The sequence below is a fragment of the Homo sapiens genome, chromosome 9 (genome assembly GCF_000001405.40).
Source record: "Homo sapiens chromosome 9, GRCh38.p14 Primary Assembly".
NCBI lineage: Eukaryota > Metazoa > Chordata > Mammalia > Primates > Hominidae > Homo > Homo sapiens.
Window position 1 is genome coordinate 64,412,539 of NC_000009.12, and position 23,630 is coordinate 64,436,168.

Sequence of the window (23,630 nt, forward strand, 5' to 3'; positions counted from 1 at the left end):
CCACGTAATGTTTTAAAGGCACCTACTGGTTATAAAATCATAATTTAGGATAAATGTGGTAAAACTTAGCAAAACTATATTTGGTTTAGTTTTCCCACTGGTATTTATAGTTTACTTTGAATATTTATATTAATAATTAGCTCATAATTTTTATTGCAAGGCTCAATGACTGTCATTGGAATATAATTTTGTTCAGTACAAAGATACTTGTAGCTGTCTGTGATTTACGAGTTAGGCACTACATCTCCATTTTCAGACTGAGGGGTGGCAGGCTTCACATACAGTGGGAATGGAGTAATTACAGGAGGGAGTTGTAGGAGCTTTGAAGTCAGAGAGGGAGGTAGAGGCCTTTTTACCTAGGGCATCAAAGGCCATTGGAATTTTACTTTTATTCTGAGATAGGAATCTGTTGGAAGGATTTGAACAGGTGATTGAATATGTTAGGAACTTTGAGGCTGAGTTGAGCTTCTGAGATGATTGAATGTTGGAATGAATCTGTTGTGTAAAAGAGAATACCAATTTGGCAGGAAGAGAACATATTCTGCATCCCTCACTGAATTCAGTAATAAATAAAAATGTGTACATGTGATTAAAAGAAGGTGAATTGATATGTGTGGTGATAATTTTCAAAGTAGATATGTTAGAATTAAACATTATTAACATAATTTAATAAGGCAGTTTATAAAATCAGTAACAAAAATATTTTATCAGGTGGTTGTGAGACAACTTCAACAAGAAGTGGCTGACAGCGTAAAAAAATTAACGACGTTAGAGTCTCCACTGGAAGGTATATCACGTTGTCACATTAATTTGGATGAGACACAGGCCTCAAATAAGAAATTATTTCAAGTGAAAAGTCAAGTATGTATGGAATTTAACATGTCAACAGTTATTCTGTAGCTAGTTGAATTATATAACGTGTTTTAGGATACTAATTTTGGCAGAAGCTTGATTTTTTATTTTCATTATAATGAATGATTTCCATTTTACTATCTTTATAATGTACTTATTTTTTTATATTGTGACTTTCATTCTACCATTTTGAAAAACCATTGCATACCTTTTCTCTTACAATATGTACCCTTGGAAAAGTTGAGAATTATACATCATTCCTCATAGAAAATTGACTTTTTTCCTGTTAAACAGTATTTTTAAGTAATTTTTGTATTGCTCTGATGAGGCAGGCCAGATTAAATCAGAGGAGAATGTTTCATGGAATGTTCCAGAAAATTGTCTTATTTCTTCACTTTTGTGAATGGACACAGAATCTGTGTCTATTTGTTTCACAGATTCTAGGTTAACTTGTACAGAAAGGCCATTATACTATTCTTTGAAATGTGCATGTTTTAGGTTAATTTACAAACTATTTGAAAAGTTAGGCATTTTCTTTATCTATCTTTTATTTAAAATATACTGTAAAACTGTAGAAATATTTAGATTTTATATAGCATGTACATCAAAAATTAAGAGTTGAGAAAATTATCTTGATCCTGCCTTTGGATTTTAAAAAGATTCACTGAGATGTCATTCACATATCAGGCAGTTCAACCATTTAAAATGTACAACTCAGTGTCTATTAGTATGTTCACAGCATTTTCGTCACCCTGAAAAGTGACCCCACATCTCCTAGGCATGACTGCAGCCTTCCTCCATGTCCCTCCACCTACCCCTGTTGTAGGCAACCACCATCTACTTTTGTCTCCATATGTTTGCCTGTTCTGCATATTTCATATACATAGAGTTATACAATATGTAGTCCTTTGTGACTGGCTTTTTCACTTAGCATAATGTTTTCAGAATTCATGCATGTTTTAGCACACATTCGTAGTTTATTTCTTCTTATAGTTAAATGATATTCTATTCCATGGCTATACTGGTTTTCCATTCGTTCATCAGTTGATGGACCTTTAGGTTAGTTTCCACTTTTTAGCTATTATGAAAAATGCTGCTGTGAACATTCACTTACAGGTTATTATGTGGACACGGGTTTTTATTTCCCTGCCATTGGACTTTATCCTCAGAGTTAATTGGGCAGATTTCAGCACTTGTCTTGCTCATGCTATTCTTTCTGCCTTCTCAGTTTCTGTTCATCTAGCCTCATTCATTCAGACCTGGCAGACAATTTTTTTGTTTTCATGAAGCTTTCTCTGACTGTTCTGTCATTGACCTTATGTGTTAGCAATCGTTGTCTAGTCTGTGCTGAAAAACTTAGTCCTTAATTTTACATGGCTTTTATTTTTTTATGGAAGATAATTTTCTCTCATTATAAATTTGCTTAATGGGGGAATAATATATAATGTGTATGCCACCTATCCTTGCATACATTGAAAATATTTTAGCTTAGAAGTTTGTAGCATACAATTCAATCATTTATACCATACCAATTATTTCTTCCTTGAGACCTTGACACAGTAAGGTTATATTCTAAATATAGTTTTAGCAATTAAATATCAAATCTAACCCAATTAGTCTAACACAGGAGATGCGTTCAATCACGTGTTTATGTTTTTCTCTCTATGAAAAAGAATATAAATTGGCCTTTTTTCACTATGCAGCCATTACTGTGTTTCTGGACTGCTCCCAGTCTGTCAGCTGAACAGTTCTGGTTGCAGCTTGTCTGATGAAGGATAGCACAGCCCCTCAATCTGAGTGCTCAGCAGAGTGCTTGTGAAGGCAGCACCACAGCAACAGTTGCTCAGAGGGAACGGATTCAGGAGCCTTGACTTAGCAATAGAGTCCAGGGTTTTCAGCTCAGTGTCTTTAGCCTGTCTCTGCTGGTCATGTCAGTTACGTACTATTCCATCCAGGAGGTGCTATTTACATTGTAGTACATACACAGTCATTGCCTAATGAGTCATACAGAGAGAAAAGTAAGTTATAAATTATGTCCCCCATTTGCTGCAACTCTCAGTGTTAAGAATGATTCAGTGCAGCTATAGGAGACTACTTCCATTGGCATGCCACCTGCGTAAAATACACAATTTTGTTAAGATATACAATAAAATTATTATGCTAATAGCAAATATTTTATGTAGCTCACTATGTTCCATGTAGTCTTCTAAGTGCTTCATGTTAGTCCCCAGTTAAACACCTGGTTTTGGAAGGCTGAGGCAGGAGGATTGCTTGAGCCCAGGAGTTTGAGACCAGCCAGAGCAATATAGTGAGACTCTGTCTCTAAAAAAAAAAAATTTTTTTTAAACACTTAGCTGAGGCATGGTGGTGCATGCCTGTAGTCCCAGCTACATTGGGAGGCTGTGGTAGGAGGGTCGTTTGAGCTTGGAATATTGAGGCTGCAGTGAGCAGTGATCAAGCCACTGCACTCCAGCCTAGGTAGCAGAAGGAGACTCTGTCTCATAAATAAAACATGTTGTATAGATTCCCATAGAAGTGAGTTAGACATCAGGCATAGAATTATTAGCCGCTTTGATGTCTGCCTTGGGAGTAAAACACATAATAAGGGGCAGCTTTAAACCATCTCAATCAATAGCCTCTAACTTCTCCAGAAGGTTCTTATTTCATGAATTTCTAAGCAAGGGACTACCTGGATTAAGACATTTGGTAGACACCATTTTGAGATGAAGAATCTTGAATGGGAAGAAGGGAGATCTCTACTTACTGAAGCTTCCCGATGACATAGTTGAGTGTCCCCCAAAAGGAACTTTAGAACAAGATGTTCATCATGCCATATCTCTATGGAAAAGGAAATTATTTAAAAGAAAACAAAGGCAAACAATTGATAATCTGATTTTCATGGGAAAGTTTTCATTATCAAAGAAAAAGAGGGCTGGGTTCCATGGCTCACATCTGTAATCCCAACACTTTGGGAGGCTGAGAGGGGTGGATAACCTGAGGTCAGGAGTTCAAAAACAGCCTGGCCAACATGGTGAAACCCTGTCTCTACTGAAAATACAAAAATTAGCCAGGCGTGGTGGTGTGCACCTGTAGTCCCAGCTACTTGCGAGGCAGAGGCAGGAGAATCACTTGAACCCAGGAGGTAGAAGTTGCAGTAAGCTGAGATGGCTTACTGCATCCAGCCTGGATGACACAGTGTGACTCCATCTCAAAAAAAGAAAAGGACAAAGTATATTGGTCCAAAAAAGAAGAAAGAATGAAAAAAAGGACAAAGTATACTGGTTAGTATCGTAACAGTGAGATAGTCCCCCTTTGAGATTAGAAAATAACAGTATACTCAAAGTAACATCAATAAGAACCAACATAAAATAGACAAGATTCACTATCTACAAAAGTAATCTGCACCAAGTAGCAATGTATGAGCATGTGGTGGAGAATATTGTCTATAATATGTGTACTAGAAGGAAGAGACCTCAAGAAAAAGGTCAGAGCTGGAAATGTAGATTAGGGAATCTAGGTCAAAGTTTTGAGATTTTAGGAGTCCTGAGAGAATTTAAAAAGCGAAATAGCCGCCGGGCGTGGTGGCCACACCCGTAATCCCAGCACTTTGGGAGGCCAAGGCAGGCAGATCATGAGGTCAGGAGTTCAAGACCAGTCTGACCAACATAGTGAAACCCCGTCTCTACTAAGAATACAAAAAATTAGCTGGGTGTGGTAGCACATGCCTGTAATCCTAGCTACTTGGGAGGCTGAGGCAGGAGAATCGCTTGAATCCAGGAGGTGGAGGTTGCGGTGAGCCGAGATCATGCCACTGCACTCCAACCTGGGTGACAGTGGGAGACTCCATCTCAAAACAAAAAACAAAAACAAAACAAAAAACCAGAAAAGTATAGGGCTGAAGAACAGAGGTTGCTGCATTTAGAAAGGAGGCGGGGTCAGAGGAGCAGAGGGAGCATTTGGTCACTGCTCTGCTGAGTAAAGCAGGGTAAAGTCCTTCATGACCGTTGGACTTTTTTATTGGAATTATTAAAAATCAGATTTCAGTATAAAAAACACAATAATTGATGAAAAAAGATTTCTGAATGAGACCATGTGTCATAGAGTCCAATGGAAGGGGAGAAACAGGATAATAGAAAAGCCACAAAAAGTAGACGAAAGTTGTTTTTGTTTATTGTAGAAAAGATAAACTTTATTTAAAGAGAAATGGTTAAGAGAAAGGGAAAAACTGAAACCTGTGGGTGAATACTTAGAATGACAGTATTTAGCTCAGCCTGAAGACAGATGAGGATGAAAAATGTAATGGGAACTAGATAAGAGTTTTCTAAAATTTGTCTTAGTAAGATGTAATTTAAGAAAACTTGGAATATCTTAAACTGTTAAAAACAATATTTCTAGAGCATCTTTAAAAACTAAAATGTAAATATAACTACTCTTTTTTTTAAACTAACCCTTAGTATTTTGTGTGTAAAAACCCTCATTTGTAACAAACATTGTTGGCAGTTTAAATTTCAGAAAAGATAATGATGAAAATTTGAATCATTTTTAGCAGTTTTAAGAAAAGTGACTATTATTGAAATCTGACCTTATTGGCGTCAGGTTTATAAAATGCACTTTATACACCTGCATAAATACGTATTACTAATCCACTTATGAGAAATAATATTTTTGAGATGAGGGTTTCCAGATTTTACAAAAATAATTTTAAACACTTTTTTTAAGCCTAAAAAAGAAAATGAAGAATTAAGAAAACTTTTTGAGTTAATATCATCACTGAAATATAATGTGAATCGAATAAGAAAGAAAAATGATGAATTAGAAGAAGAGGCAACTGGGTATGGTTTTCATATTGTAGAACATGTTAGCCATTTATTAATTGATTTAACTCTAATTTTACTTGACTAAAACCTAGATACAAATTCATTTTATGTTTGCATTTTCATAATTAAATGAATTCTATTTTAAAATGTATTTCAGAAACTCACAGCACAACTTTTTAGACGTGTGTCATGGGGGTGGGAGTCAGCTGAGCTGCTGGGGCAAGGTGAAATTTTTTTTGAATGCCAAAATATTCTTTTTTTTTTTTTTTTTTGAGAAAAAGTCTGGCTTTGTTTCCCAGACTGGAGTACAATGGCGCGGTCTTGGCTCACTGCAACCTATGCCTCCAAGCAATTTTCCTGCCTCAGCCTCCTGAGTAGCTGGCATTACAGGCATGTGCCACCACACCCGGCTAATTTTTGTATTTTTATTAGAGACGGGGTTTTGCCAAGTTGGTCAGGCTGGTCTCGAATTCCTGACCTCGTGATCTGCCCGCCTCGGCCTCCCAAAGTGACATGAGCCACCATGCCCGGCCACTTATTCTTTAATGATTTTGAAAACAATGACCACGCCTTGGACATATACTGTCCAGTGCACTCTTCATTATCTGGTTTGAATTTTTATTTCTGAAGATATTTTTTGCTGTCTGTGGTCATTTTTTCTTCCTTTTTTAGTATCCTCTGCTGCATTCAAATTGTTTAAAGAAGACCTGTTTGTGTCATTCTTTAACATCAAATTTATCTTGATATGTAGCTTATATTTTGTTTCTGCTTTTTCTTTTAGATATAAAACGTGGAAATTTACTCATTGTACATGAGTACCTCTGTTGTATACATGAAGTATACATGTTATTAAACTTGTTTTACATAAATAAATTTCATATATATAAAAATATATGTATAACTTAAAGAAAAAGTAAAATGAACATTCATGTTTTGATCACAGATTTTTTTTAAAACAATGGAATCTGTCTTTGAAGCCCTGAACACAGCTACTTTTCTATTTATTTACTGAGCACTTAATTTGGTTTTCTGATTAGAATCAACATTTTTCTGTCATTGCTTTTCTCTACATGGTTTTGTATCTCTTTCATTTTGTTGACATTATGTCAGCAAAGATGTCTAGATCTCTTCTTCAAAGTCTCTAAATTGTCACACATCTCTCTGCCCCTTTCCTTTTTTCTAAAACTGCCTGTATCCTTTTTCTCCTCAACTCAGATATTAAAGATGTTTTCTTCTCTTTTTCTACATTGAATGATCTCCTTGATGCTTTTTGTGTGTACTTTTTTTTCTTCTGATAGACTGTGGTCAGTGGGTATCAAAATGTACTTTTGTGTCTTTTTAAATGTATGTGTTTTACTTTTTTATCTTGGTTACTCATCTCTGGGTTATGGCTTATATTTAGTAACACGTTATTTTACTTAGCATACCAACATGGATATGAGTAGTTTATTTACAAAAAGTGTATGGTTAGGCCAGGTGTGGTGGCTCACACCTGTAATCCCAGCACTTTGGGAGGCCAATGTGGGTGGATCATTTGAGGTCAAGAGTTCAAGACCAGTCTGACCAGTGAAACCCCGTCTCTACTAAAAATACAAAATGAGCCAGGCATGGTGGTACACACCTGTAATCCCAGCCACTTGGGAGGCTGAGACAGGTGAATCACTTGAGTCCAGGAGGCAGAGGTTGCAGTGAGCTGAGACCACACCATTGCACTTTGGCCTGGGCAACAAGAGTGAAATTCCATCTCAAAACAAAACAAAAAACAAAACAAAAACACTGTATGGCTATAATATCACTTTACCTGCCCTATATTCCATAAAATTATTCTTCATATTATTTATCTAAGATTATAATTTCATATAGAATGCTTTCAAACTATGTTCAGTTGAAACTGAAAGTAACATAGTTTATAGATTTGTTTCTTTGATATGCCATAACAGATGTTTAAACAATTATTAAATATTTACTCTTAAAAATACTTGACTTACTAATTCTGTACATTTCTGCAGATATAAGAAACTCCTGGAAATGACAATAAATATGTTAAATGTATTTGGAAATGAAGACTTTGATTGCCATGGAGACTTAAAAACAGATCAACTGAAAATGGATATTCTGATTAAGAAGCTAAAACAGAAGGTAATTTAAAAAAAATATTTTATCTTAAGGTCTAGATTACATGTGTGAGACGTGCAGGTTTGTTATATAGGTAAACGTGTGTCATGTTGGTTTGCTGCACCTATCAATCCATCACCTAGATATTAAGCCCTGCAGGCATTAGCTATTGATCTTGATGCTCTCCCTCCTGATCCTAACAGGCCCCAGTGTTTGTTGTTCCCCTCCCCGAGTCCATGTGTTCTCATCATTCAGCTCCCACTTCTAAGTGAGAAGATGCAGTGTTTGTTTTTTTCTTCCTGCATTAGTTTGCTGAAGATATCAGCTTTGAGCTCATCCATATCCCTGCAAAAACATGATCTCATTCATTTTTATGGCTCCATAGTATTCCATGGTGTATATGTACCACATTTTCTTTATCCCGTCTATCACTGATGGACATCTGGGTTGATTCCATGGCTTTACTGTTGTGAATAGTGCTGCAATGAACATACAAATGCATGTATCTTTATAATAGAATAATTTATATTCCAACGTATGGTAATTTTAGATCAGTTTTGGTATTAAAAATCATGTAATTTTGGAAAATATTGATAATGGAAAAACCCAAATTCTGCCAAAATATGTTGAGAAAATAGAGGGTAAATATATCTTTTCAGACTTTAAATGCCTCAGGCTCTTAGTTAATCTTCCCCAGATCTGGGAAGAACTAGAAGGGGAGAGATTGGGCTACGTTAATGAGGGCCATTTCAATCTCTTGGCCCTGCAGCAGCCATTTCAAAATATGACAAAAAAATATATTTGGGGGTAAAATATTTTGATTTCCTTCAGCTTCTTCTCTCTGTGATGCTGCACCAGAATCAGGTTAGAAAGGAAGCCACATTATAAGAGTTAATAAAACCCATCTGATGAGATTTGATAGTTTGAAGGGTGTGATTCCCAGACCCTTTAGATAGAAATTGGGGCCAAGGAAAACAAGGTCTTATTCCTCAATATAAATCTGTCAGTGCTTTAAGCAGTGAAAGATTTTTCATTTAATTTTACAGACTTGAAACTAATGAAAAGGATAGCTTTTAAAATATCAATCTCTTTTTCTATGAAAAGGACATGCTGTTGATTCTCTTAGGCCTTGAACCCTGGCCAGTGATCTGAAACCAAGCAGTACCTGTCTCCAGATCACTACTACCAAAATCACTAGTACCAAATTAATTTGGGGTGGGGGTAACAGGTTTATTGAGAAATAATGAACACACCATGCAATTCACTCATTTAAAATATACAATTTATTAACTTCAGTATTTTCAGAGAGTTATGCAGTCATCATTACAATCAATTGTAGAACATTTTCATCACCCTAAAAACAAACCCCACATCATTTAGCTATCTTCACTAGTTTTCCCTTCCTCCCTCAGCCCTAGGTAACCACCCACCTTCTTTTATAGATTTGCCTATAAGCCTCTGAAATGAAAAGCAAGTGGTCTACTGTGACTGGCTCATTTCACTTAGCATAATTTTCCATGCTGCATCTGTGCTGCAGCAGGTATTGATGCAGGGTTTTTGCTCCTTAGTTCAGCTCAATCTGGGTTCTTCTCTCATGACCAGGAAAAATTAAGCACACAGACACATTGAAGGGTGAGGAGGACAGAATTTATTAAGTGAAAGGAAAGCTCTCAGCAAAGAGGGGCGTCCTGCAAACAGGTTTCCACCTCTCAACTGAATACCAGGAGCACAGGAGCTGAAGCGGCCAGGCTCCTGCTCTGCATAAGGCGTGAATTCCTGGTGACTCCACCCCATCTCCCCAGTGCTTGTGGGCCTCGGGTCTGCTGCCGGCATGTCCAGGCAAGACAAGTCCAGGTTCCCTTATCTGCACATAACGTCTGGTGTAAACACTTGTGAGGCTTGTTGGGGATTCTCCGGGGACCCTTCCTTATCTGCCTAGGCATTTTGCTGTCTCCTCCTAATACAGTATCAGTACTTAGTTTCTTCTTATTGCTGAGTGATATTCCATTGTATGGATACATCAAACAGTTTATTTATCCATTCACCAGGTGATGGACCTTTGGGTTCTTTCCCACCCAAAGGTGATGGACATTTTGGTTCTTTCCACTTTTCACTCTTACTAATAATGCTGCTGTAAACATTTATGTATGAATTTTTGTGCTTGCATATGTTTTTGATTTTCTGGAGTATATACTCATGACTGGAATTTCTGGGTCGTGTGGTAACTTCATGCTTAACCTTTTGAGGAGCTGCCAGTTTGTTTTCCAAAGTGGCTGCACCACTTTACATCCCCAGCAGCATTGGATAAGGGCTTTAATTTCTTTACATTTTTCCTAACACTTATTTTCTCTTTTTTATTGAATAAAGGTTTCATCCTGTGGTGTGAAGTGATACCACACGTGGTTTTGATTTACTTTTTCCTAATGACTAATTACATTAAGCATCTATTAATGTGCTTATTATCCATCTTTATATCTTCTTTGCAAATATATCTATTCAAAATCTTTGCCCATTTTTTAAATTGGGTTATCTTGTTATTTATGAATTGCAAAGGTTCTTTATATATCCTACATATGTAAGTCCCTTATCAGATACATGCTTTTCAAATACTTTCTTCTACTCAGTATCTTACCTTTTCACTTCTTGATACTGTCTTCTCAAGCACAGCAGTTTTCAATTTTGAAGTTCATTGAATCCATTTTTCCTTTGGAGTCATAGCTAAGAAAACACTGCCAAATGCAGTCACAAAGATTTATGCCAGGGTTTTCTTCGTACTTTATTTATTTTTTGCATGTGGATATCCAGTTGTCGCAGCACCATTTGTTGAAAAGACTATTCTTTTCCCATTCTGTTCTTTTGTTAACCTTGTATAAAATCAATTGACTGTAAATGTGCAGGTTTATTTGTAGATTATCAATTCTTAGTTTGTTTATATCTATTCTTATGCCAAGGCCAAATTGAATTTAATGAGAAGATTTTTTCAAGCATGTTGCATATTACCAGTTGTCTTATATCATAATAAAAATTAAATTTAGTGGAATATCTTTAACTTCACCTTTTGTGCCTCAAAGGAATCTCTGGCCAGCTTATACCTTACTTACTCTAAGACATGATGGCAAGTCAGGCTTACAAGACACTCTTTCTTTTTTTCTCTATTCAAACCTTTAGTCTCTTTTCCATTGCCTCCCTCTATAGTTATATTTTCAGTAAGTTTTCATCACAGGATCTGCTGATGTAGTCTAATATTTAGTGTATTATGTTTTGTTAACTCATTATAATTCATAGAATCTTCCATAGATGTTTACCATCCAGGAAGGAGAAGTCTGAGCTGCCAGCTTTCCTCAGTGGAAATCATGTGAAATCATCATGTTGTAGTTCGCAGATCCTCTCCACCTGGTAGCTGGTTCTCTTGGGTAGCTCTGCATCTAATCCTTTACTTGGTGCAGATCTTGCATTCTCAGAAACCACAGTTCCCTGTATTGACCTCCTTTTACTGAAACAGAGATGCACAGCTCTGCTTTCTAGCTCAGTAGAGGATTCTTGGGATATAAAGTTTAACTCATTCCAAGAAAAAGTCTTAGGAGTGCAGCACTTCAAAATCAGGTAATGTTCAGGCAATTTATCAGAGACAAATAGTAGATTAGTATTTTGACTTTTGAAATTTCGGAGCCAAGTTGTGTGCTGTAGAGAAGCATTGTGGTATAATACAGAGATGGGATGGTCTTAACTTCTCCATACAAACAAGCTTGAAGTAAGATAAAGGAGAAATTGCATTTGATGTCTTAACACTCAAAGCATATTGTGCTTATTTTACTTCTGTGAAGACTAAAAATCATTCCATAATGTTCTCCTTATTTCCTCATTGAGAAAAGGAAAATGAAAATTGAATACTAGATTGATTAATAAATACTCAAAGCTTATTCTTTTAGAATTTTCATTAACTGAAATCAGGCAAATGTCTGATTTTGGTTATCTAACCAAGTATTTCTAGTTGTTTTTCAAATCATACTTCTTCTTTCTTTGCAGTCTTATTTCCTAACTTGAGGGGAAATTGTAAGGAGACACCCTTGTCTTGTTATCAGAGTTCATAATTGAAGGGGGTTTTAGGAAATGTTCCTCCTCAGCAGCTTATGTCTCTCTCCTGGTTATCTACTGCTTCTCAATAATGTTTGTCATCAATAAATTAATCTCAACATTTATTAGATCCTACTTTAAAGGAGACTCTTTTCTCTGCATAAGTTATGTTTCCTGTTGTCTCTTTTTAAAACTTATTTTTCTAACAATTATCCAGGGTTTTGTGGCTTAAAAGAAAAACATTTATTTTGTTCATGAACCTGTGGTTTGAAAAAAGCTTAGCCAGGACAGGTCATCTCTGCTCCCCTCAGCTTCCCTAGGAATAGCTTATCAGTTGGGGAAATGGAATCCTCTGAAGCTTTGCTCACCCATGTGTTTGATGGTTGATGCTGGCCATTGGCTGGAACCTTGGTTGGAGCAGGCAGCATGAATATTGACACTGACACTCCCAGGCTGTCTCTCTGGCCTGATCTCACTCACAATCTGGGGGCTGAGTTCAAAGGGAAAGCAGTCTGAGATAGGGAAGCCACATGATATCCCTTTTACTGCATTCTATTCATTAGAAGGAAGTCAGTAAGGATTGCCCATATTCTGTTTTTTTAATGGGATAAATATAGCTTCTCTTTTGTTTTAATTGACATGTATATACATAATTTTGGCCAATAGAGTGATATTTTGATACATATATATATAGTGTGTAATGATCGAGCTAACTAGCACATTTACTACTTCAACCATTTTTCATTTTTTGAATTGTGAACATTCAAAATCTTCTGCCTTTTTAAAAATATACAATAAATCATAGTTAACCATATTCACCCTACAATGCCACAGAACACCAGAACTCATTCCTCTTATCTAACTGTAATTCGGTATCCATTAACATCCTCCCCTCCCCTACCTCTGTGAGCTTTTTTGTTGTTGTTAAGAGACAGGGCCTTGCTAGTCCAGTCTGGGCTCTGGGCATCTGTAGTCACCCAGACTAGAGACAGTGGCTTGATCATAGCTCACTGCAGCCTCAAACTCTTGGGCTCATGTGATCCTCTGACCTCACCCTCCTGAGCAGCTAGGATTATGGGCATGCACCATTGCACCTGTCTGATTTTTGACTTTGTAGAGCTATCTACCTATGTTGTCCAGGGTGCTCTGGAACTTTGGCCTCAAGTGATTCTCCTGCCTTGGTCTTTCAAAGTGCTAGGAAATTACAGGCAATAGCCATGTTGCCCAGCCCTCAGTTTTTCTTTAGCTCCCACATATGAGTGAGAATGTGCAGTGTTTATCTTTCTGTGTCTGCACTTAACATACCATCCCTCAGACTGATCCACATGGCCACGAATAACAGGATTGAATTCCTTTATACGGTGAATAGTATTCTACTGTGTTTGTGTGCCACAGTTTTTTGTCCATTCATTTGGTTATGGACATGCAGGTTGATTCCATACATCAGCTATTGTGAATAGTGCTACAATAAACATACGAGTACAGGTATCTTTTTGATCTATTGTTTTCTTTTCTATTGCCTGAATACCCAATAGTGGGTTTGCCGGATCCCTTGGCAGTCCCATTATTAGCTTTTTGAGAAAACCTCATGTTGTTTTCTATAGTGGCTGCACTAATTTACCTTCCCACCAACAGCATGTTAGAGTTTACTGTTCTCTGGAACCTCACCAGCATATGTTATTTTTTTGTCTTTTCAATGATAGCAATTTATTCAAATTGAAGCAAGATTGTATCACATTGAAGATTTGATTTTTATTTCCCTGAGGATTAGTGATACTGAGCGTTTTTAAATTTATTTATTGGCTATTTGTATTTCTTTTTTCTAAAGAAAAGTATAGTTAGATATTTTGCCCAATTTTGAACTCAGATTTTTTTTTACTGTCAAGTTTTTTGAGTTTCTTGTATATTTTGGATACTAGTCCCTTATTAGATGAATAGTTGACAATATTTTCTCCCATTCCACTGGTTTTCTCTTCACTCAGTTTGCTGGGCAGAAGCTCTTTATCTTAATGTAATACCATTTGTCTATCACTTGGTTTTTGCCTATGCTTCTGATGTCTTACCCATAAAAATCTTTGTGCAGACTAATGTCCTCAAGCATTTTTCCTCCATTTACTTAGAGTGGTTTCATAATTTTAGGCCTTAAATGTCAGTCTTCAATCAATTCTGAGTTTATTTCATTATGTGCTGTTACATAGGAAGCTAGTATCATTCTTCTCCATATGGATATTTAGTTTTCCCAGTGCCATTCATTTGAAGAGACTGTCCTTTCCCCAGTGTATGTTCTTGGCACCTTTGTCCAAAATCAGTTGGCTGTAAATATGTGGATTTATTTCTGGGTGTGTATTCTATGGCCTTTACCCCAAGAATCATTACTTCTTAAAATGCAATTCAAATTAGCATGAAACATTTGCAGTTTAAGGAAAGGCTTATGGCATCAGAATCCTTATTTACAGGATTCATTATTTTGTGTTTTTTTGAGATATGGTCTTTGTCTGTCATCCAGGCAGAAGTGCGGTGATGTGGTCATAATTCACTGCAGCCCTGAACTCTGGGTACAAGCCATCCTTTTGCCTCAGTCTCCCAACTAGCTGGGTCTACAGGCATGAGCCACCATGCCCAGCTAATTTAAAAAAAAAATTTTGTAGACATGGGGGTCTCACTATGTTGCTCTGGCTGATCTCAAATTCTGGCCTCAAGTGATCATTCTGGCACAGGCTTTTAAATTGCTACAATTACAGGAATGAGCCACCATGCCTAGTATAGAGTGTTATATTATTTTCAAAGTCTTATTCTGAGAGCCATTTATTGACTTTGGCCTAAATAACTCAATATGATATCTCTGAAACTTTTTTTTTGACATATTATGGGGAATGATAATGAGGGAAGGTGGTTAGACACTTTTTACTAAGAGATAACTTAGTGCCATCTAAGGAGGAACAAAAATGAATTATCAGAAAAATAAAAGTAAGATGAAGTGCAAAAGTTCTGTGGCAAAGATGATGATAGCAAATAATATATTTTTGTGACTCATGGTAGCTTTAACTTTGTTCTTAAAATTCTGAGTAATTTAAGGGTTCACATTTGAAGAATCCACTGCATTACAGATAACATTTTATTGCAAGTAAATGCATTTCAAAATTTGCTATTGGTTTTGTATTAGATTATTCTCAGCCTACTTCATTATCAAGCTATATTATTTTATTCATGCAGTTTGATGATCTTACAGCACAGAAGGAAGCTTTATCTTCAAAATGTGTCAATTTGGCTAAAGACAATCAAGTTCTTCAACAGGAGTTTTTATCTATGAAAAAAGTACAACAGCAATGTGAAAAACTTGAGGAGGATAAAAAGATGTTGAAAGAAGAAATATTAAATCTTAAGACACATATGGAAAACAATAGGGTAGAAATTAGTAAACTACAAGAATATAAATTGGAGCTAGATGAAAAGGCAATGCAGGCAGTAGAAAAATTAGAAGAAATCCATTTACAGGTTAGTTTTTTAAATCAGGTAAGTTTATCTGTAATGTGCTTTCATTTATTTCACCACAAATTATATTTTGGATATGTATATATTATGTTTCCTCTGCCTCTCTTGTAGCAATTTGCTTTGTAGAGTTCTAGAAAAAAAATGGCATCTGTTTTTTCTTTTAAATATTTACATTTCCATTATTATTATAACAAAATCAATCTTTCAGAGTAATGATTCTCACTGTGGAGTCATTTGATGATTAAGATCAGTTGGCATAAGAAACAATTGTGATTTCAAAATTATGTGATACTTTTGAATTGGTCTTAAGCTACATTGTTCATTAATCACTTTTTAAAATTATGAATGGATTCTATTACTTTTTATATGACCAGATTACATTAATACTAACATAATTATGATTTCAAATTTTTATAAATCAGACAATTCTAAATTCAGTTATTAGTTTTGATCTTGCTGATAAATATTTTAAGCTTCAGCCTCTTTTACTAACATATTCACAATTGCTCTTTGAATCACTGACTCAAAATGAAAGGCAACAAACATATAATAATTAGGTTATAATTGTTTTAAAAGTGTATTCTTTTCCTTTGTTTTAGGAACAAGCACAATATGAAAAACAATTAGAGCAGTTAAACAAGGATAATATGGCTTCACTAAATAAAAAGGAACTCACACTTAAAGATGTGGAATGTAAATTCTCAGAAATGAAAACTGCTTATGAAGAGGTTACAACCGAATTAGAAGAATATAAGGAAGCCTTTGCAGCAGCATTGAAAGCTAACAATTCCATGTCAAAAAAGTTAACAAAGTAAGTCGAAACATACACTCATAGAAAATGAATTAAGCTCATTAATTTGTTTTGAAAGCATAATTTTTAGTGAGATGGCTTCAGGAGATTAGTAGGAAGTGAATGCTAATCTAATAATGTAATTTCAGAAAATAATGTTAGTAAATAATCTTACCTTTAAAATGTTAGTCAAGGATAGTTTCTGTCCCATTTCTTTCTCTCTCTCTCTCTTTTTTTTTTTGCTTTTGTATGACTTTTTTCCCCTGAAAAGTCTCATGTAGTTAACCTGATCTGTTAGTTTTTGTCACTAAGTACTTTCGAAGCTTTATAATTAATAATGTGATCTTGTTATAAAATTGCTTGTCAGAATTTTCCTAAATAGAAATATTAATGAGTTTAATTTATTTTTTGGTAGATCACAACCTAAACCCAAAGTTTCAAGTGGTACTGCTACTCTGGGCACAATCATTTTTGATTGTGATCTTTAGTATTATCACTAGAGGGTGCCTCAAGAAAGACTATTTGTGTAACATTTTCAAGATGTTACAGAAAGGCATCCTTGTGAAATAGGGAATAATTATCAAGGAATTTAAAGAAGTGTAATTCACAAAGTGGTTAAAACATAACTAGAAATACCATTTGACCCAGCAATCCCATTACTGGGTGTATACCCAAAGGATTATAAACCATGCTGCTATAAAGACACATGCACACGTATGTTTATTGCAGCACTATTCACAATAGCAAAGACTTGGAAGCAACACAAATATCCAATAATGATAGACTGGATTAAGGAAATGTGGCACATATACACCATGGAATACTATGCAGCCATAACAAATAATGAGTTCATGTCCTTTGTAGGGACATGGATGGAGCTGGAAACCATCATTCTCAGCAAACTATCGCAAGGACAAAAAACCAAACACTGTATGTTCTCACTCATAGGTGGGAATTGAACAATGAGAACACATGGACACAGGAAGGGGGGAACATCACACACCGGGGGGCCTGTCGTGGGGTGGGGGGATGGGGGAGGGATAACATTTGGAGATATACCTAATGTTAAATGATGAGTTACTGGGTGCAGCACACCAACATGGCACAGGCATACATATGTAACTAACCTGCACGTTGTGCACATGTACCCTAAAACTTAAAGTATAAAAAAAAAAAAACTTGTTCAGCCTGAAGGGGTGTGTGGAAGGCAGAAGGAAAAAGCCCCACCTCCAGTGCCTTGGTCACAGTGCTGGGGGCTAATTGCCTTCAGACATGCTTTAGTTCTTTTTGATCACCAACCAGCCAATCTAGTTCTCCCCCAGGAGTTGTTGTTCTGAATTATTCCTCAGTGCCAAATGCTTAATTGTTCCTAGATAATGGGTGAAATGCACAAGGGTGAAACCTAAAATTTGTTTGCTAAACACAAGTATTCCTAAATTTTTTTGTTGTTGTTCATTTTAGTTTTCTTAACCTACATTAAGGAGTACAACATGATGTTTTGATACAATTATTTCTAGTGAAGTGGTTCTTATAATCAAGCAAATCAACATATTCTTTTCTCACATTGTTACCCTTTAAATATGAGTATTTCTAATGGAATCTTCAGAATCTCACAAGTAGAGCCCTTTTAGAAGGCAGCAAGTGTTACCTGTCGAGCCATATATCGCTGATAGCCATTTCTCTTCCCTGTCTACTTTGTTTGTGCTGCTTGTTCAGTATAAATCACCTTAGAAACACAGGTGCTTCTTTAGAATGATTTTAAAATTATACTTGCTTACAACAGGTATGCTCTCACACATCTTCAGTGTGAAAACACTGTTTAGTGGATAATTTGGTTTGCTCTCAGGGCAAGTTTTTAAAAACTGTAAGTCATTAAGAATCATTAGAGGAAAAATGAAATACTAAGCGTGTGTTTTTGCTATCTTTACAGATCAAATAAGAAAATAGCAGTGATTAGCATGAAGCTCCTCATGGAGAAAGAGCAGATGAAATATTTTCTCAGTGCTCTTCCTACAAGGCGAGACCCAGAGTCACCTTGTGTTGAAAATCTTACTAGTATAGGACTCAACAGAAAATATATTCCCCAAACACCCATAAGAATTCCTATTTCAAGCCCACAGACTTCAAATAACTGCAAGAACTCCTAGACTGTGGTTAGTTACATGACCATTTCTCTTTTGGGTTTCATTTCTCTAATATAATTCTTGTTTTTAATTTGGTGAAATACTGAATTCTGTTGACTTATGCATGTTTAGTAAAGATCATAATTAGCTGTGTTAACACAGAAAGGAAATGGGAACTTTACATTTTTTAATTCCCTGGAGCTCTCATTTTCAAGAGATACCCGTTTACTAACTTTATTCCATAAATGTGACTAAACTGACACATTTAAAATGTCTTTAAAAGCTGCATTTAAGTTAGGTTTTAGAAATTGCATATTATTGCCTGATAACTGATGATATAGTTTGAGATGCTTTGGCTTACTCTCTAATTGATTATAGTTTAGCTGTGGTTCATACTGCCCCCCTTTTTTTTTAATTGAGACAGTGTTTCACTCTATTGCCCAGGCTGGAGTGTTGTGGCACCATCTTGGCTCACTGCAACCTCCACCTCCCAGGTTCAAGCGATTTTCCTGCCTCAGCCTCCCAAGTAGCTGAGACTACAGGCACCTGCCATTACACCCAGCTAATGTTTGTATTTTTAGTAGAGACAGGGTTTCACCATATTGGCCAGGCTGTTCTCAAACTCCTGACCTTGTGATCTGCCTGCCTCAGCCTCCCAAAGTGCTGGGATAACAGGCATGAGCTACCACGTCCAGCCCATGTCACTTTTAAAGTTTCTTTGCACCAGCCAGGTGTGGTGGCTCATGTCTGTAATCCCAGCACTTCGGGAGGCTGAGGCAGGTGTGTCACAATGTCAGGAGTTCAAGACCAGCCTGGCCAAGATGGTGAAAGTACAAAAAGTAGAAAAAAAAAATTAGCCAGGTGTGGTGGAGAGCACCTGTAATCCCAGCTACTAGGGAGGCTGAGGCAGAGAATTGCTTGAACCCAGGAGGCGGAGGTTGCAGTGAGCCGAGATCGTGCCACTGAACTCCAGCCTGAGTGACAGGGTGAGACTTCATCTTGAATATAAAAAATTTAAAAAAAAGTTTATTTGCACCATCTCAACTCTTCCCACCCATAATCACAACTGAATGATTGGCATCCAAACAGTTTGCCACATATAGATGTTTATTATTTAGTAGAATCCAAAATAATTGCATTTTATGAATTAAACAAAACACTAAAATGTTCATTTCCATTTTTATGTTCAAAGCTTTGTGCTTGGCCAGGTGCCGTGGCTCACACTTACAATCCCAACATTTTGGGAGGCCGAGGCAGGTGGATCACCTGAGGTCAGGAGTTTGAGACCAGCCTGGCCAACATGATGAAACCCATCTCTACTAAAAATACAAAAATTAGCAAGGCATGTTGGCAGGCATGTGTAATCTCAGATACTTGGGAGGCTGAGGCGGGAGAGTCACTTGAACCCAGGAGACAGAGGTTGCAGTGAACCAAGATCATACCACTGCACTATAGCCTATGTGATGGAGACTCTGTCTCAAAAAAAAAAAAAAAAAAAAAAGGTTTGTGCTTTTCTTACATAAGAGTACATCCTCTGACTATAAAAATCCTGGAAGAAAACCTAGGAAATACTCTTCTGGACTTCATACTTCTCAATTAATTTATGGCAAAGTCCTCAAAAGCAATTGCAAGAATAACAAAAATTGACAAGTATGATCTAATTAAGCTAAAGAGCTTCTGCACAGCATGAGAAACTATCACAGGATTAAACAGACAGCGTAGAGAATGGAAGAAAATATTCACAAACTATGGATACAGCAAACACCTATTATCCAGAATCCATAGGAGATCTAAACAAATCAACAAGCAAAAAATAAATAACACCATTAAAAATGGGAAAAGGACATGAACAGACACTTCTCAAAATAACACATGTAAGTGGCCAACAAACATATTAACAAATGCTTACCATTGTTAATCATCAGAAAAGTGCCAAACAAAACATCAGTGAGATACTATTTCACACCAGTCAGAATAACTTTTGTTGAAAAGTAAAAAGAAAAAAAAAAAGATGTTGGGGAAGCAGTGGAGAAAAGGGAACACACACCGTTTGTGGCAATGTAAATTAATTCAGCTACTATGGAGAGCAGTTTGGAAATTAAGAACTAAGGATGACCGTTGGATGCAGCAATCCCATTACTATACTAGGGGTATACCTAAAGGACAATAAATCATTTTAATAAAAAGATGCTTGCACATGTGTGTTCATTGCAGCACTATTCAAAGCAGCAAAGACATGGAGTCAATCCAGGTGCATCCAAAGCAGATTGAAAATCCAAGGTAGATTGGAATGTTCCATACATACCATGGAATACTATGCAGCCAAGAAAAGAACAAAATCATGTCCTTTGCAGCAACATGGATACAGCTGGAATCCACTATCCTAAGCAAACTAACACAGAAACAGAAACCAAATATCTCATGTTTTCACTTATGTGGGAGCTACACATTGGGTGCACATTGTCATAAACCTGGGAACAATAGACACTGGGAAATAAGAACAGGGAGGGACAGAGTGGGCCAGGGTTGGAAAACTACTTATTGGGTCCTATGCTTACTACCTGTGTGATGGGTTCCACTGTACTCCAAACCTTGGCATCCCTCAATATTCTCTTGGAAGAAGCCTACACAGGTACCACCTTAATTTAGAATACAAACTAGAAAAAAACAAACAAACAAAAAAAAAAACAAGAAAAATTTACTATTAAAAAAGTTTACTATAAGTAGAGAATAGAAATTTTAAGATAAAATTTATTGATGTAAAAAAATTGGATTAAACTTGTATAAAGGGCAGAGTTTTGCTAAGAATTTCAAAGCAATGCATTCATTGAAAAGATGACTTTAATTATTTAATTTTTTTTTTTTTTTTTTTGAGACAAGGTCTCACTGTATCACCAGGCTGGAGTGCAGTGGTGCAATCTTGGCTCACTGCAACCTCCACCTCCTGGCTTCAAGCAATTCTCCTGCCTTAGCCTCCTGAGTAGCTGGGACTACAATTGTGCACCACCATGCCCAGCTAATTTTTGTATTTTTAATAGAGACAGGGTTTCCCCATGTTGGCCAGGATGGTCTCGATCTCCTGACCTCATGATCTGCCTGCCTTGGCCTCCCCAAGTGCTGGGATTACAGGCATGAGTCACCACACCTGGCCATTGTTTAACCTTTGTACTAATAAAACACTACCTTTCTAAAATCATGTATATGCAGTAGACCAATATTAACTGTATTTTTGTCTGATTACTCTAAACAGCATTACACAGGTGTGTCCTCTGTTATCTAAACTTAAAATAAGTAGAAATTTTACTTTATTTATGTGATTATTTTTCTATTTAAGCAAACTTCAAGTTATGTCTAGTCACTAAAAATACTAAAGGTCACATTTTGTAAGTGATACATTATTTGCATGATAATGTTTCTTGTTTAACTTAAACATTATTATTATTTTTACTTATTTTAGATGGAGCTGGACTGTGTAGAACAAATAACTAGAGAAACAAAGAGAAGTATGTTGCCAAAATTTATTAATTACATTTAGGTTTATTTTAGAAATTAAGTGTAAATAACAAATGGCATTCCTTTTCATTGTTTGGTTAGTAGATACTATGTCAAGTATTTTTTTTCTTAGACACATTTAATGCAAGATGTGAAAACAAAAACTTTCACAGAGAAGACTGTACTTATGCACCATAAATTCATCATGTTCCATAGCTTAAAAAATTCCCAAGAAGTCTGTGCATCTGTTTTTTACTGGCTCTACACTTTCTTAAGTTTTGCCATCATCATGGAACTGTCAGCCAGCACACTGAAACAATTCTCAGAAAACAAAGGCATCACCAAGTTCTCAGGGTTTTGGTACAGATTGAAGGCCAACAGACCTCAGACTCATTTTGAAATCCTTAGCTGGGCAATAACCCTTCATAAGCAGTCACTTGACAGGTGACATTTTAAATCTCCTATCATTTACTGTGTCATTGGCTTACATCTGTTCTCAGGAAAAGTTCCAAAATTTTCACCATGAAATAAAAACACCCACGTCAATGTGATTCTTGTCAAGTTACTCAGCCTTGTTTTTTGCCACTTACCGCACTCTACCCTTTGCTCTAGCACCAAAGTGGAGGAGAGTAGAACTCCGCAGGGCTCTTCCTCACCTCAGGCTCTTTGCCTTCGCCTCTTCCCTCTATCTGGCAAGCTTTTCCTTGTCCTTCAGGTATCAACCTATGTTATCTCCTCCACCAGAAAGCCCATGATATTGACATAAAAGTGGGATAGATGTCCCTTTTGTGTGTTCCAGTAGTGCCCTGCTGTATACCTGTCATGGTATCTATGACACTATGTGGACATTGCCTACCTGTCTGTGTTTTTAGGTTATAGCATATGACTATTGGGAGGTGGACCATGCCATCTTCATCTTGGAATTCCAGTGCTGGTTCTAGTACCTTAGCACGTGGCTGTTGATTACATGAATGAAGAATGAAAAACCTCTGATATTTAAACACAATGGAATTAATGCCATGTGTAAATTATTTAATAGTAATTTTGTATTGTAAATGTACATAGATATTTCTCATTCTTACTAACTCTGATAAAGTTCTCAACTCTTTAGTATTTAAACTCACATTTAGTTAACTGAAATGTTTTAGGTAAAGAACATAATTCTTTCTCTTTCCAGTTGTTGCTGTGTTGAACACTTGCTCCCGTCTACTTACTTCTCTATAATCCACTGGTAAGCCACATCTAATGAAGAGAATGTTTAACCATAAAGTCTTAAGGAAAAATTTTATTATTTAAAAGATTATAAAACTTTATTACTGGGCTGTTTACACAACATTTTAATTGTTTCTCATAAAATATATAACATTACAATCTTTACTGAAGTAGGATGTTTTTGTATCACATGTGTGATGATAATTTATAGGGTAATTTAAATGATGTTTTTTAGCCTCCTTAAGTTTTAAGTGGATCTTGCAAATGAACACCAGTATTATTGAGTTTGACGTACTCAAATTGCCCAAATGCCAGCTGTTTAAACAGCCAAAGAACCAAGTCATCATTGATACTTTAGTAAAGGTCATCGAAGGCTTCTTTGCATTTTACAGCTTTTACTACTTAGGGGAGTTAAGGAGTACCTGCCAGGCTTGTCCATGCTAATGTGACAATTTTCTTTTTGTAGTTGAACCGTATTTTGTGGGGAGATACTTTGAGGCTCTGTAAATATCCAGTTACTCCCAGAACCCACTAGATTTAGCATTTCATGGATGACTTGTGTTTGAACAATTATTACTATGATGGTTTCCAGATGATTATTTTCTTCTCTTCTTTGCTGTACATGGAGAAGTAAAACCAATAAATAACTGAGAAGGGAAAGCT

The 23,630-nt window shown here is 36.3% G+C and overlaps 1 long non-coding RNA gene and 1 pseudogene across 1 annotated transcript in view; both read left to right on the forward strand.

Moving 5' to 3' along the window:
• Nucleotides 1-23,630, forward strand: part of ANKRD20A4-ANKRD20A20P (ANKRD20A4-ANKRD20A20P readthrough) — a 99,849-nt gene that overhangs the window by 43,145 nt on the left and 33,074 nt on the right. The window contains exons 16-22 of the long non-coding RNA NR_146419.1: nucleotides 712-861; nucleotides 7,679-7,808; nucleotides 15,072-15,353; nucleotides 15,950-16,161; nucleotides 18,071-18,293; nucleotides 21,721-21,766; nucleotides 22,933-22,986. This is a non-coding gene — a long non-coding RNA (ANKRD20A4-ANKRD20A20P readthrough). The remainder of the gene's footprint in view (nucleotides 1-711; nucleotides 862-7,678; nucleotides 7,809-15,071; nucleotides 15,354-15,949; nucleotides 16,162-18,070; nucleotides 18,294-21,720; nucleotides 21,767-22,932; nucleotides 22,987-23,630) is intronic.
• Nucleotides 5,572-23,621, forward strand: ANKRD20A20P (ankyrin repeat domain 20 family member A20, pseudogene; annotated as a pseudogene).